At 36.8% G+C, this 12361-nt stretch overlaps 1 protein-coding gene across 5 annotated transcripts in view; it reads right to left on the bottom strand.

Moving 5' to 3' along the window:
* SCAF8 (SR-related CTD associated factor 8) overlaps positions 1 to 12361 on the bottom strand; it is a 100867-nt gene that overhangs the window by 17073 nt on the left and 71433 nt on the right. For all 5 annotated transcript variants that reach the window (NM_001286188.1, NM_001286189.1, NM_001286194.1 and 2 more), the window contains 5 exons: positions 11686 to 11803; positions 8971 to 9102; positions 8374 to 8486; positions 6964 to 7157; positions 1356 to 1456 (listed from right to left, as the gene is read on the bottom strand). In NM_001286188.1, coding sequence (NP_001273117.1) covers positions 1356 to 1456; positions 6964 to 7157; positions 8374 to 8486; positions 8971 to 9102; positions 11686 to 11803 — 658 coding nt within the window. The remainder of the gene's footprint in view (positions 1 to 1355; positions 1457 to 6963; positions 7158 to 8373; positions 8487 to 8970; positions 9103 to 11685; positions 11804 to 12361) is intronic.

Genomic DNA, 12361 nt, shown 5'->3' with positions numbered 1-12361 from the left:
TCAGGACATATTACTGATATGCAGCTAGAACTGAGAATCACTAGTTTAAAGGTAGGGGTAAATCAGAAAGAAACTTCAGAGAAAGTATATGATTATAGACTCTGAAAGACAGTGATGTTTTGACAGGTAAAATCTAAAAAGACAAAAGAATAAGAGAGGTCGACAGCACTCTTGTGGTAAAGAAAGAGAAATCTGAAGTACCCAAGTTGAAATCCATAACCAATCATCTTTTTATCACCTGTGTAACTCAAGCAAATCACTTAGTTTCCTCATTAGAAAACAACAGTATTTGAATTACTTAACCAGCTTCTTATGAGGCTCCAAAAAGATCACACACAGTCAAAAGTAAGATGCAAAATGGTTCAACTCAACTCAAATAAAGAATTCTGTTACTATTACAGAAAAGTCAAGTTTGGCCATTTAAGGAAGACTGGGAACTAAGACTAGAAAGGAAAACTGGGCAATTTTCTGATAAATAATGATAAAAAGATCCCACAGACATAAAACTGTAACCACAGGGAATGAAATCAGACGCCTGATGAATTAAGTCTCCTCATACTTCCTGTTTACCAGGATGGATGGATGGATGGATGGATAAATGTCTCCCCAAACAAATGACTACAAAACATTTCACCACACAGCAGGAGGAAGAAAGACAGCACGTAATTTTTAAATAAAAGAACAATTAAAATAGCTAACCAAAGATGTCTGACCCTCAGGGAAAAGCATCAGGCCTCATGAAGAATAAAACACAGACTCAAAGGAGGAGACTGAGTGGTGCAAAACTAGTGCAAGAATCAAGAGTGAAAGAGTTATGCTCAACTTACTAGCAATTCGCTGGCCATACTGATTTTCTTACCTAACATTTGCTCTGTTTGATAAAAAAGAGAGTAAAAGAGCACGAGAGGGTGAGAGAGTGAGAAGAAAAAGGCAAAAGAAACTGGGATCCTAAGTCCAGCTGTGTCTCCACGACTGCTTCTGTGGTCATGTGCAAGTGACTACAATTCTGTGGAACTCTCCATTTCCTCAGAGACAGTTTTTTAAAAAAAGGAATTAAACCAGACCACACATAGGGTTCCTGCTAACTCAAACATTTGATGATGTCAGGAATCAAGCATGGTACACTGCTATAAAACTCAAGAACATTTTGTTAGAATTCCACTAAAAAATAAAAATAATTAAGGAGAGAAACAGCACCAAAATAAACACAGACATTATCAAAGTAAAGCAATCCTTTTAAAGATGTGTATTATTTAAGGCAGACATTACTGGGCTAATTAGGAACAGAAGTGATTCTTTGTATTAATAAAAACCTCCTTTTTTAAAACCTTAAATTATTAAGAACTGATACTTGCATTAATGGATTCAATCTGTCCAAACTCTTCAAACAGGTTGGTTAAGTCTTGCTGTGTTGCCTTCTTGTCCACTTGCCCAACCCAGAGAGTAGTACTACATACTGTCAAGACACAAGAGACAAATGACCTAAATCATTTAGACATAGTTACTTCTTTGAAAAGTAATTGAGGAAAAAGCAGTAATACACATAATAATTAAATTTAAGATAATATATTTAAAAATAATTGTCAATGAACACTTGCATCTGTTATGTTTAAAAACAACTAAAATCACAAGTATTAATTCACATCTCTGCCAAGTCAACCACTTACATGTCACCTGTTTTCAAGCTTGGCTGCACACCTGAACCATCTGTGGATGCCAGGGTCCCATTCTAAGAGGATGAGTGGCATGCAGTGTCAAAGACAGGAACTGAGAGTTGTAAAATTCCCTAGGTGATTCTAATGTGCAACAAAGTTTCAAACCCACTTCTCACCGTAATCCCATTTGTGAACCTTTTATTTATTTATTTATTTTTTTGAGACGGAGTCTCACTCTGTCGCCCAGGCTGGAGTGCAGTGGCACAATCTCGGCTCACTGCAAGCTCCGCCTCCCAGGTTCATGCCATTCTCCTGCCTCAGTCTCCCGAGTAGCTAGGACTACAGGCGCCCGCCACCACACCCGGCTAATTTTTTGTATTTTTAGTAGAGACGGGGTTTCACCATGTTAGCCAGGATGGTCTCGATCTCCTGACCTCATGATCTGTCCGCCTCGGCCTCCCAAAGCGCTGGGATAACAGGCGTGAGCCACCGCACCCGGCCTGTGAACCTTTTAAGCGTCTTTCTGTACTGGAAGGATTAAGTGAATGTGTCTCCCTAATCAAGAGATAAATCTAAAAACAGCATCTTATCCTTAAGGAAACAATCCTTTCTGGGAAGATACAAAGGGAAAATGGCCAAATCAGAACCCCTTAACCCCTTGAAAGACTTAAAGATACTTAACTGTTGAAAGCCACATCCCCTTAACAAATATTAAACATGAGACACCTTGCCTACTTTCAGCTGTACAGTTCATGCCTCCACGAATGCCTCCTTTTACAGAAGACATTTATTTAAAAAATATTTATAGCTGACACCTTTGCAGAATTTTCATATGTTATATTTGGATTTATGTCAATGTCCACATTTCTGGCTACCTTTGATCTATAATAAGACAGGTTTCAGGCAGGTTTTACTCTATGGCTAATTTAGCCCCACATGAAGGTACCCTTGGCAAGATCACTACTGAGTGCCCTAGGCTTTTCAACCAGGTCTCTCCACTCTGGCTAGTCAGAACTCTAACATCTTCTAGACCTGTGTAAGCTTTAGGAATCACTTAGCTAACACAGAGTCCCTGGTCATTGTTCTTTCCCTGCAAGCTGTTTATCTCCTGTAAGTCTTACCCTATGCATATTCAATTTAATCTTCAACCAAAGTCTCAAGGAGCTCTGCATTAGGTTTGTTTTTCGTTTGTTTGTTTCTGAGACAGGTCTCACTCTGTTGCCCAGGCTGGAGTGCAGTGATGCGATCTCAGCTCTCTGCAACTTTCACCTCCCGGGCTCAAGTGATCCTCAGCCTCGCGAGTAACTGGGACTACAGGTGTGCGTCATCATGCTCAGCTAATTTTTGTTGTATCTTTAGCAGAGATGTGGTTTCACCACGTTGCCCAGGCTGGTCTCAAACTCCTGGTCTCAAGTAATTTCAAAGTGCTGGAATTACAGAGGCAAGCCACCATGCCTAGCCTTGTAACAGTTTTTTATTGCTGCTATAACAAAATAACATGAAGTTAGAATAAAACAAATATATTCTCTTATAGTTCTGAAGATCTACTATGGGTCAGCAGGTACGCATTCCCTCTAGAGGGCTCTAGGGGAGAATCTGTTTCCTTACCTTTGCTAGGTTCTACAAGCTGCCTGCCTTCCTTGGCTCATGGTCCCGTCCTTCGTCTTCAAAACCACCTCCACATTTCCCAAATTCTCTCTCCTTTCATTATCACATCACCTTTTCTCTTCAACGTACTTGCTTCCCTCTTATGTACCCGTGTAATTAAACTGGGCCTTCTGGATAATCCAGGTTCATCTCCCCACCTCATGATCTTTAATTTAAAAGGGCCTGAAAAGTCCCTTTTGCCATACAATGTAACATATTTAAAAATCCCAATGATTTAAATGTAGATACCTTTTAGGGGGCCATTATCCAATCTACCACAAAACCTTAACAGAAGTCTGGGGCTCTGTCATGGAAAAGATCCCCCCGCCCCTTTATTTTTGGAGACGAGGTCTTGCTCTGTCACCCAGGCTGAGGCTAGAGTGCAATGTCCTAATTATAGCTCACTGCAGCCTCCTACTCCCTGGATTTAAGGCCTCCTCCTGTCTCAGCCTCCACAAAAGCTGAAACTATAGGCACACCATCACCATGCTTGGCTAAGTTTTTATTTTTAGTACAGACATGGTTTTGCTCTTCCCAGGCTGGTCTCAAATTCCTGGCCTCAAGCAATCCTCCCGCCTTGGCCTTCCAAAGTACTGGGATTATAGGTTTGAGCCAGTATACTCAGCCTTAAGGATTCTTCTGTTTTTTGTTTTGTTTTGTTTTGATATAGGGTCTTGCTCTGTTCCTCAGGTTGGAGTGCAGTGGCACAATCATATCCCACTGCAGCTTCTCAACCTCCTAGGCACAAGTGATTCTCCCACCTCTTTCTTGAGTAGCTGGGACTACAGAAGTGTGAACCACCTTGCCGAACTAATTTTTTTTTTTTTTTTGGCGGTAGTGATGGCATCTCACTTTGTTGCTCAGGCTGGTCTTAAACTCCTGGCCTCAAACAATCTGCTGGCCTGTGCCTCCCAAAGTAGCTTGGATTACAGGTGTGAGCCGCTGCACCTGGCATTCTCTTTTTCCTCTTTATTACTGGTTCTGCATATTCCAGCTGCCTTAATCTCCCTGAACTCTGTTCTGTATTTCCCATCTCTTTCAATATTATCTCTCTACACATTTTTCCCATAGGAAACTCCATTATTTTCCCCAGAAAGCATTAATGATTCTTGTCATCCCATGCAGAAGGGACACTTGATTCCTGGAATGTTATTATTCACTGGTGCTTTATATCCCCTAGACTATTCACGAAAACCTTATGTTCTAAAATCCATGCTAAAGACCAATAAATCGTATGAAAACACTACCATATGTTTAAAATGTGTTAAGAAAGAATACAAACCACAGGAAATTGATACTGCTTTTGAATAAGGAGAGTTGTGAGGTAAACAATCAGAGATTATTTTTCACTGTATAGGCATACCTTGGAGCTACTGCAACTTTGGTTCCAGACCACCACAATAAAGCAGATATCACAGTAAGGTTAAGGCACATAAGTTGTTCTTCCCAGTGCACACAAAAGATATGTTTACACTACACTGTAACCTATTAAGTGTGCAACAGCATTATGTCTAAAAACAAAAATGTACATACCCTAATTTTAAAATACTTTTTGCAAAAAAAAAAAAAAAAAAAAAGCTGACATAGAGACAAAGTAGGCACCTGCTATTGGAAAAATAGTGCCAAGAGAGGTACTCAACATAGGGTGGTCACAACCCTTCAACCTATTTAAAAAAAAAAAAAAAAAAAAAAAGGCAGTATCTTCAAAGCACAATGGAGTGAAGTGCAATAAAACAAGGTATGCCTGTATTTGGTTATGCGTTTTTTATTCACGTGCTTTTTATTTTCTTTTTTGCTGTTTGTTGTGCCCATGAAAATAAAACAGAAATAAAAAATAAATTCCACAGTTAAAAACTATGTAAACAGCACACGTATTTACTGCGGCACTACTCACAGTAGCAAAGATTTGGAACCAATCCAAATGTCCATCAATGATAGACTGGATTAAGAAAATGTGGCACATATACACTATGGAATACTATGCAGCCATAAAAAAGGATGAGTTCATGTCCTTTGCAGGGACATGAATGAAGCTGGAAACTACCATTCTCAGCAAACTATCACAAGGACAGAAAACCAAACACTACATGTTCTCACTCATAGGTGAGAATTGAACAATGAGAACACTTGGACACAGGGCGGGGAGCATCACACACTGGGGTCTGTCAGGGGGATGGGGGGTTGGGGGAAGGGTAGCATTAGGAGAAATACCTAATGTAAACGACAAGTTGATGTGTGCAGCAAACCAACATAGTACATGTATACCTATGTAACAGACCTGCACTTTGTACACAAGTACCCTAGAACTTAAAGTATAATTTAAAAAAAAGAAAAAACTTAGATGACGGGTTGATGGGTGCAGCAAACCACCATGGCACCTGTGTACCTATGTAACAAACCTGCACGTTCAGCACATGTATCCCAGAACTTAAAGGAAAATGAAATAGAAAATTAAATGGTTAAAAAAAAAAAAACTGTGTAAACAGTGAAATCAACAACATGACAAATTAAGTGAGAAATTAAATGAGAGCGACTCCATATAAAATCCTTACTCTAATAATGGCAAATAAATAGATAATTCTGAACGTCTTAATGGTAATCATGCGAGAAAGCACAGTAGAGATTTTTGTGGTTAAACGTTTGACATTATTTCTTTTATCAGCCAGCACTAAAATGTTTAGATGTATACCATCACCCTAAGGGACAAACAAACTTCTAGAGCAAGGATAATCAATATTATCAGGTTGACACTAGCTCTCACAACCAGGTAAAATTCATGCAAGATAGCCAAGGCCTACAAGAACTCCCAAAACTTAGTAAGAAGATGGCTATTGCCTTTTATTATAGGCCTGGGTTTCCAAGACGCTCTAGTAGCACAAATTATACCAATTATTTTTCTAACTCCCTGGCAGAGGGAATTTACGTGGAAGTCTTCAGAAATTAGATAACACAATCAATGTTTAGCTCTTTGGAAAGAATGACAATTTGTTCGATTTTATGTACTTCTTTGCCCATATGTAAACTCTTAGTTCATCTTAAAAGTCATAACCCACCAAGAATACCCTAGGCAAAATTTGGCACTAATTAAAACTTATTTTGCTGTGCTTAACATTCCTACCAAGTGAACCCTCCCCACACCTGCTCCAAAACCAAACCCCACCACTACCGAATCTGTTCTAATCATACGTAATTGACTAACATGTAACCGTGCAAGGTTTGTACAGTAGGAATTATCCTGTAGTGCTAACCCATTAACATTATAATTACTTTAAAAATTAGATATAGCTAAGTATATGCTTCCTTTAATAATTATTCCTACAGACCTGGTGGCCATAATTGCTAAGAATACTATAGACAGAAGTCACTGTGTCCATGCTACAGATACCAGCCTAGTCTGCTTTTTCAGTCAATATGTATTTTCTAACTTGCATTTGAAAAACAAACAAAAAATCAACCCTCAATGACCTTGGTATTTGAATGGAATCTGTTCTTCCTTCTTCTTCTCTTCTCTATCATGTTACAAAAACCAGAGACATTACTCATTTACCAAACCACTTTTAACCTTAATCTGAAAATAAAATTTGGCTGAGAGACTTTGTAGCAGATAACTATTTTTTAAATATTAATTGAAACCAAAGCGTTGCAGATATATGTTACTTACCACTTAGTGTTTTAGATCTAATTGGAGGTAATCCCTTTTTCTGTCGTTCTTTCTCCCTTTCTCTGGCTCTCCTTTCACTTGAATACGACCGTGATGATTTCCTCTTTCTTTCTCTTGAGCGGGAGCGTGATCGCTTTCTGTGTTTACGCTTTCTAGAGCCAGACCGTGACCTAGACCTTCGTTTTCTTGGTGATCTACAAAAAATTTTCATTTTACTTCTAATGACAATGTTTTCTTTCTACCAAATCTGTCACTTCTAAGTGAGGGAAAAAACAATAACAAAAAAGTTGTCTTATATTTAGTGACAATATGTTAAAATATTCTGAAGTAAAATCAAGTCTCAAAAATGCATTTTACTTAAATCCGTGTGCTGCTTAGGTCCATATTAGTTGGCAATGATTCTGAGTATGGGTGACTATTCACAATGAAGAGGAAAAAGATTCTAGAAAGGGCCTCACTTTCTCTTAGTGCATTCCAACTCATTTTTCAAACAGAAGAACAGGAATGAAAGACCAAAGAAAATTAAAAGACCATTTAAGTGTCAGAGCATTAGGCCACTACATAATTCTGCTTAGTAGTTTCCAACTTATAAAATTTTATGGTGCTTGTAGAAGGTGACACTGAAACACTTTCTTTTTTGCCTGTCAACCACATGCCATTGAGCTCTCTTCAAAATGCTTAGTAAGATGCTGCTAATGACAAATGAAGATATCTTCAGCATTAAGATTGTTAATGCTTCAGGAAAATAATTCAGTGATACGCGGTGGGTTTAGAGAAAGTTGAACTGACAGGCTCTCATTTGCAATAGATAAATATAAAGAACTTTGTGACAAGAAAAAGAAATGACTGAAAAACTCATCAAACGTACTGCCCCTCTTACACCATTTACTGTTCAGATTTTCAGGGGCATTCATACGCAAAAAATAGGATACAAAAATGTTAAAGACTGATGTCTTTAAGTTAAGCTCATAAAGAAAACTGTTTCCTAACGGTTTGGTATTACAGTTAATGTTTATAAAAATAAATTTTGTAGTTTCATTTTTATAACCATTTTTGGTATCACTGTGAGATGAGTGGAATCCAGGAAATATGGCCTGACTTAACTGTTGTTCAGGGGCAACAATATTCTAAATTGGGTGTCATCATAATATTAACTAAAATAAAATATAATTCAAAATCCCTGTCTCATGATATGGCTGCCAATCTTATGTAAATTACTGAAATAAATAGCCACAGATATACCAATTAAAACAGAACAAAGGTTATCTTGTTTTTGGAATAACTTTTTTTCCGAGAGACTGAGAAAAAATATGTCATCCCAAGGAAACATTTCCTTTCATCCTGATGCAAAGAAATAAAGCCAACATTTTAAAGTTCACACACGGCTATTATTAAATATCATTGTAGAACCTTGAACGAGATCGTGAATGTGTTCTTGATCTTGAGCGAACCGCCACTTTCTTAGCTTCTTGTTCAAAGACCTCCTCTTCCACTCCATCTTGCCCTTCATCTATATCCATATCCTTGAAAGTCAAAAGAACAGCAAACAAACAGAAAGGCTGGTTGAGACAGAGTTATACATTGACAATTCTGTTTTTAAAAATATTGACGATGGGAGCATTAATGCCTAATACAGGGGTGTCCAATCTTTTGGCTTCCCTGGGCCCCATTAGAAGAAGTAATGTCTTTGGCCACACGTAAAATATACTAACACTAATGACAGCTGATAAGCTTAAAAAAAAAAAAAAATCGCAAAAACAAATCTCATATTGTTTTAAGAAAGTTTACAAATTTGTGTTGGGCTGCATTCAAAGCAGTTCTGGGCCATGTGCTTGGCCTAGGGGCCATGCTTAGGCCTTGGACAAGCTTGGCCTAATAGGTGAAACAATTACAAAGTGGAGCTTAAGTGTGGGAAAAATATATTCAGGGCACTGCTAGTATAAAATATTTTATGATTTCTTTAGCTACTTTTAGAAATTTATGACCCAGAAAAACATTTACTTTTACCTGTTGCTGAATATCTATGGAATCATCCAAATTGACTTCAGGTTCAAGAAAATGCTGCTGACTACTCCCTTGTGATGGTGACGCTGAATGCTCTGACCCAAAGGTTCCTTCCTGACTATCCTGAGGAGTGGCCTATTGAGAACATATACAAACACACAAAGATTGGGAGATACTTTTTGTTATGAATGAAAATGTAAACACAGCAAACATCACAATTACATGTTTAAAAACATGAGCCATACATAAAAGAAATTCCATGTTAAATCATTTATAAAGTAATCAATCCAAAATTAAACATTTGTATAAACTCATTTTTATATAAAAGCAGAGAACAGCTCCATAAAAGGAAGGGACTAAAATATTAAAATGGTAAAATCAAGTAAATTTTCAATTGTGAAAATATAAACTACAGAGGACTAATAAATAAATTATAGCATGAAAAATACATAATGGCAGTCAGTTAAATGAATCTAGATTTTCACTGATAATTGGCATTAATAAAAAATGCTACAAAGAAAAAACAGGCCAGGCACAGTGGCTCACGCCAGTAATCCCAGTACTTTGGGAGGCTGAGGCGGGTGGATCACGAGGTGAGAAGTTCAAGACCAGCCTGGCCAAGATGGTGAAACCCGTCTCTACTGAAAATACAGAAAAATTAGCAGGGCACGGTGGCGGATGCCTGTAATCCCAGCTACTCAGGAGGCTGAGGCAGAGAACTGCTTGAACCTGAGAGGCGGAGGTAGCAGTGAGCCGAGATCTGCATTCTAAATCTCTCATAGGTTTTATACTATCTACCTTATAAAAACAGTTCTAGTTTTACCACTCTCTTTTCTTCATTAGATTCATTTTTGAACAATGAGGTTTTTCAGAACTTCTATTCCTTTCAAAGGGATCTTATTATTCTAAGCTGTGAAATTTTGGAACTGATATATAGAGTAATTAACTAAGCCCAGAGTTCTCTCTTTTTGGTAGGTGAGATTCTTACAACAGACTCGCTCTCTCTCAAGTTTATTTTTACTTCAATAACATGGTGCTAATTACAAGCTTGTTAAGACTACTTGATTCTGCTAAGAGAGAGACCATTAAAAACATAAAGTACTACGATTACAGTGCTTCTGCTAAACCTTCTAAAATGAAACTATGACTAAAGCAATTCACAAAGTGTTACATTTATAGCTCAACAAATCTGTTGTTTGGATAAATTCTTCCATCACGACTACCTCCTGCCTCTCTTAGCAGTTCTGTGATTTTTGTATTATTACATCACTGACGAGCTGTTTGTTTTGAGTTACAACTTTGTTTTTTCTTTAAACAACATCTAAATGTTCTTAATTGTGTTCTATCTTCAACTTCTGGGTTCTCAGGCAGATACATTTGCTTGACATAAAATACTGCCCCTACTCTGGCCACTTATATCAGAATTGTTTCTTCAAAAAAAAGGTATGAAATTCCATTCTCATAATTCTAGGCATGAGTTCCAATGCAGCAAATATCATTAACATCCATTTTATATTACTGTTTGCATTAAAAAGTCAAGTTCAGACCCCAATGTCTCAAGTTTGCTATCTCTTCCATCTAAAATAACTGTTCCCCCCTCCATGCTCCTAGAATCCTTCAGCTGTACCTCTATGACAAAAATAAAGAATTCTGCCAGGTGTTCATACAGATGTACGTGCTCCATTAGAGAAGAGGTTACCTGATGCCACAACCTCATTTCTGTTCATCTCTGTATGTAACACTTGCCTAACAAGTAACACATACTCAAAAATATTTTGTGATATTTTTGTTAAACTCATTAATGCCAAAACTTTTTTAATATTAGGATGTATGCTGGGGAGGGAAAGGGGGTTTCCTAATACTTTTATTCTGAACAGTTTACATGCGTAACCATTTCTCACATACAGCAGAAAAAGGCTTTGAAATAAATTTAATCCTAGCTCTACAACTTAACATATTTTATCAGTTCTAAGGTGCAATATTTTGTCAAAGATTATCAAATTCGTAAGATGAACTTAAAGGATCCTTACAACTCAAAAGGATGTTACATTTAGTTATCGATGTTTTAAAATTCTTAGCTATGCATAAAATAACCGCACATCTTGAGTCAGATAATATATAACACTAGCTGTACACTGCTGCATGAGATGTTTAATCTCACCAAGCTTCCACTTCCTCTGGGATAAAATGGGAGTCATAATGCCCATCGCCTGAGGGTTAAATGTATACAAGCCTACCACATACCTAATAAAGCTCCTGCTACATGCTAACAGCAAATACGTTTTAAAAATTAAAGATAGCAATCTACATGGCCATCATCATTGTCACCATTAACATAATCATCAACTTGCTTGATAGGGAACAGAGAGAAAAACACGTTTAGTTTTAAGTGGTAATTCTGAAACCCCCTCCATCCTGTTCTCTACTTCCAGTACACTGAAATTAATTTCTACAATGTGCATTCATAAGTTACCAGAACACAATTTGATTACAGAAAAAACCATAAAGGTCCTGAAAAAAATGGTCTTACTAATAAGAGTTGAAAAAATATCACCATAACAAACTTTAGAAAGAAATAAAGTAGCTGGTAAAAGCTAAATAGTTGAGAAAATATTCTATTAAGACCAATTAAAAAAAAAAAAAGCCAACCCACAAAAATGCCAATTTATAGAATATAAATAGTAATAACTCTAAAGACCACAAGATGGGGTTATAAACCTTTTGAGGCTGTTGCTGCTCCAAGAGCTGCTGTCTGAGATGTTCTAGGTTTTGCTGTTGTAGTTGTTCTGCTATCTGATGAAAAATGGAATTGTTCACAGATTCTGAAACGTGAGAACTAAAAGGAAAAACAGGTGGAAACATATTTTAAAACCCACTAAAGATACTATGAAAATAACTGAGTATTCAAAGAAAACAAAAAAGTCAATTCAATAAAACATATTCTACTGCATGTTTTCTTTTGCAATTTTAATACTTAAAGTAGAATACTTGAGAACATTAATTATTAAAAGAAAAATACATTCTTCAATTGTACATCAATAGATGGATAACGTGTCAGAGATGCTCTGCTGAAGATCTGATATTACCATCTCAGGCTGTTAAATACATATAAATTACTGCTTTTTCATTAGAGCATATTAAGAAAATCTCAATATTTATAAAAAGTTTAAACATTTAAACATTGTTACTTTAACTCCTTCTCTTACTATGAGATAGAAAAACAGTCTATCAATCAGTATGTGTGAAATCTACCATTGTAATTGACCATAAAATTTATAAAACTAATATTCTTCCTTTAGAAAATCATATACATTATTAGGTATGTTAACAGAGACAGATACTGTTTAAATAAGAAAAAATAATAGTTTAACTATATTCTTGGAAATTCACACCT

The sequence above is a fragment of the Homo sapiens genome, chromosome 6 (genome assembly GCF_000001405.40).
Source record: "Homo sapiens chromosome 6, GRCh38.p14 Primary Assembly".
In the NCBI taxonomy this organism is placed as follows: Eukaryota; Metazoa; Chordata; class Mammalia; order Primates; family Hominidae; genus Homo; species Homo sapiens.
The sequence above is the reverse complement of the archived record's forward strand: the minus strand, read 5'-3'. Positions and strand labels throughout refer to the sequence as shown.